Source organism: Homo sapiens, chromosome 10 (genome assembly GCF_000001405.40).
Source record: "Homo sapiens chromosome 10, GRCh38.p14 Primary Assembly".
Classification (NCBI taxonomy): Eukaryota; Metazoa; Chordata; class Mammalia; order Primates; family Hominidae; genus Homo; species Homo sapiens.
In genome coordinates this window covers 2,920,544-2,923,781 of record NC_000010.11, presented here as the reverse complement: position 1 = coordinate 2,923,781, position 3,238 = coordinate 2,920,544, and the positions used below count along the sequence as shown (strand labels likewise).

Below are 3,238 nucleotides of genomic sequence, written 5' to 3'. Positions count from 1 at the left end.
AAGCCTCCACGTGTCCATCCGGGAGGCAGGGATAAGGGTGGAATTCAGTTCACACTGCGGTGAGGATACTGTGTAGCAATGCTTATGAAGGGCTTAGCCTACTGACTGGCATTGTCCAGTACTCAACCATGGGTACACGCGGTTCTTTGCCCACAAAGGCGTTGGTCTGGCGTCTTTCACAAATACATCAAGGTCCCACGAAGGAGTTCCCCAAACCGTGTAACTGGGAACCCTTGTGCATGCCATATCCTGGGTTACTAAGTCAATGAGATTTGATTCTTCGGGATGTCTGAAGATTAAACAGCGTGAAAGGAACAAGTGAGATTTGATGGCCAAGGGTGTTTCCTTCAGGGGGCAGAGTCTCTAAACTGTGCAAAGAGAAAAGTGAGAGCCACACTCCCCTTGCAGAAAATCTTTACGGAGACCTGGCATTGCGGGTCTGAAAGTGTGAGTCATCTGGGGTGAGGGGAAAGGGAAACCCAGAGTGGCTATGTCCTCACCCGAAGAGTGGAGATGACTAAGGTGAATCTGAGAAACTGCCGAGTTTTGGAAGCCACTTGAGGGGCTGCAGTCTTGACCCTCGCTGCCTCTCAGCTTTTTTTTTTTTTTTTTTTTTTGAGACAGAGTCTCACTCTGTCACCCAGGCTGGAGTGCAGTGGTGTGATCTCAGCTCACTGCAAGCTCCGCCTCCCAGGTTCAAGGGATTCTCCTGCCTCAGCCTCCCGAGTAGCTGGGATTACAGGTGCGTGCCACCATGCCGGGTAATTTTTGTATTTTTAGTTAGAGACTGGGTTTTACCATGTTGGCCAAGATGGTCTCCATCTCTTGACCTCGCGATCCACCCCCATCGGCTTCCCAAAGCGCCGGAATTACAGACGGGAGCCACTGCGCCCGGCCTGCCTCTCGACTTTCAATGCCTCACCGCTCCTTAGTGAGGAAGCAAACCCGCAGAGTCTCGGTAATTAAAAGTTGTGAATGTCTCCTTTCCTTTTTCTGATAAATTAAAAGGATTTGACATAGGAAGAAGAGAAGACAGAATTTAGTTATTTTTGGTGATTGCGGTATCGAACTGATAATTTGCTCAATTTTCTTGCAAAATTGCCTAATTTAGAACAACTGAACAGATGGTTTTTTTGTTTTGCCGCGTTCTCTTGTTAACCCGGCAGCCAGCCCCGGGCTCGCCTCGCGTTCCAGCACAGCCCTGGAACTCAGACCACAGAGGGATGGAGCGACGTGGAAACCCCCCCAGAAGAGGGCCGCCCTGGAAACGTCCTTGGGCGATGCCCATTCCTGCCGGAAGAGGGTACTTGGGACACACTCAAGAGCCAGCGCCTGGGCTTGCAGAGCCGGCAGTCAGAAGTCAGCGCCGGCTTTGGCTTCTAAACTGTTTTTCTTCAGTAATTGCCAGGTAAACTGCTTCTCACCTAAAATGTGTCTCCTTTCACTTTCCCAGCTTTAAAAAATGCCCCTTAAATATAATGCCACAAGTAAGATGAACAGCTGCTGAGAAGATGGTTGCTGCTTCTGTGATTGTTCAGGAAATGCAAGACTCGAACATCAGCGCAAGGCTGACCACACTCAGCGTTTCTTGCTTGGACAGTGATTCAGTCCTGAGTCACCCACAGCACCAATGAGAGACCCACAAGCAGGTGCTCACCCACAGGGCAGGTGAGGGGTCGACTCCAGGAGCAGAGCACGCCGTGCCCACCTGCTGGTGTCAGCCGCCTGCTCCTCGTTCTCCAGGTGTGGCTGCGGGTGCCCCTTCTTGTCCTGTACCACCCCTGAGCATCCAGTCATTTATGTCACTCTGCTCCCACCCACTTAAACCACTGGCATCACACACGCCGAGTGCATTCCTGTAGCTCCAAGGTAGCATTGCTCTTTGACCCTGGCCATGCGCCAGAATTGTCCGTGGGGATTTATGAAGATGGGTGGCCAGATACCACCTGGGAGTTCTGTTTTTACAGGTGTGTTGTGGAGTTTGGACACACACACACACACACACACACACACTCAAGCTTCATGGGACAATACGGACATGTAGACTTGACAACTGCTCTTCTGCTGCTACAGATAAAGGCTGATAAGGTGTCACAGTGCTGTCACCCTCATTGTCCACTTCATTACTCCACAGGCAGCCCAACGCTGGGTTCACAGAAATGGTATAGAGGCCAGAGGGCATGAGGATCCAGTTCAGATATCCTAAGAGTATGTTTGGAAATCACATCATCTTTTCCCATCTTTGGGGTGGCACTCACTGCCCTAGAATCACAGGTGTAACTTCTGTCTCTGGCTCTGCCAGCCCTGCCCATTCCCTGCAGTCTCCCACTCAGAGCCCCCAAATTTCTCCATAAAGTTCAAGTTCTCCAAAGTGTGACCAGATCCTCCATGGACCACCTATCTTTGGATGACACTCACCTTGCTGAATCTATCGCTCTTATTCCAGAGTGGGTCCCACAGCTCTACTGGATGATCTTGTTCTCAAGCAAGATAAAACTTTCCCCCAAAGTTGCCTTTTCTCCCTTTCCCAGCTCTACGGGTGCACTTGCTAGATGGGTGATAGTTTTCCACAGCACAGTCATGTTTTGGATACCGACAGCTTAGGTAAAACCACCAAAAATGTCCTGAATAGTTGTCAAAGAATGCCTCATTGAGCTCCTTTTGGGAAATACAGTTTCTACCCAGAATAGAATAAAAGTGAAGATGTAACGGAAAAAGAGAAGTTATTGACAGACTTCTTGTGTGTTTATAATGGTACCTGATGCTGTGTGGTTGCCATGAGACCGGCCCCCAGGTGGCCTAGGATGGAGTGCTATCTATGCAGCTGCCTGGTTTATGTGCACAGTTCCCATGTCCTGATGAGCTGTTAACACAAAAGCTTCCTGTAGTATGCATGTTCTCACAAGGGTGTGTGGTCAGATGAGGGGTGGGTGTGGCAGGATAAGGAGCAGGTGGCAATTCACACGTGGAGCTAAGGCAAGAGCAGTGGAGGCTCTGACAGCCTAGGGCATGAGGGCGAGTCCCTGCACCGGTTTATGCCTCCTGGCCCTCCGGGAGTGGAATATGGTTACGTAAATGTTGAAGGAACCAGATTTGCAGAATAGAGGCCACTGGCCATTATGTAAACTCTCTTCTGAGTCTTAAGAAATGAATGGTCCCCTCCCTGGAAAAGCAAAGATTCTCTGGATGAAAAGTATTGTGGCTGTTCAGTCACTTTAAATCAGAGTTTTTGAAAAGT

The 3,238-nt window shown here is 49.8% G+C and overlaps 1 annotated feature.

The window, feature by feature from the left end:
- Positions 334-1,533: an enhancer, noted in NCBI's record as "CDK7 strongly-dependent group 2 enhancer chr10:2964441-2965640 (GRCh37/hg19 assembly coordinates)". NCBI's record gives its function as "activates an origin of replication core promoter dependent on BRD2, BRD4, P300/CBP, MED14 and CDK7 cofactors, with strong dependence on CDK7, by STARR-seq in HCT116 cells {active_cell/tissue: HCT116}" and the evidence as "EXISTENCE:reporter gene assay evidence [ECO:0000049][PMID:35650434]".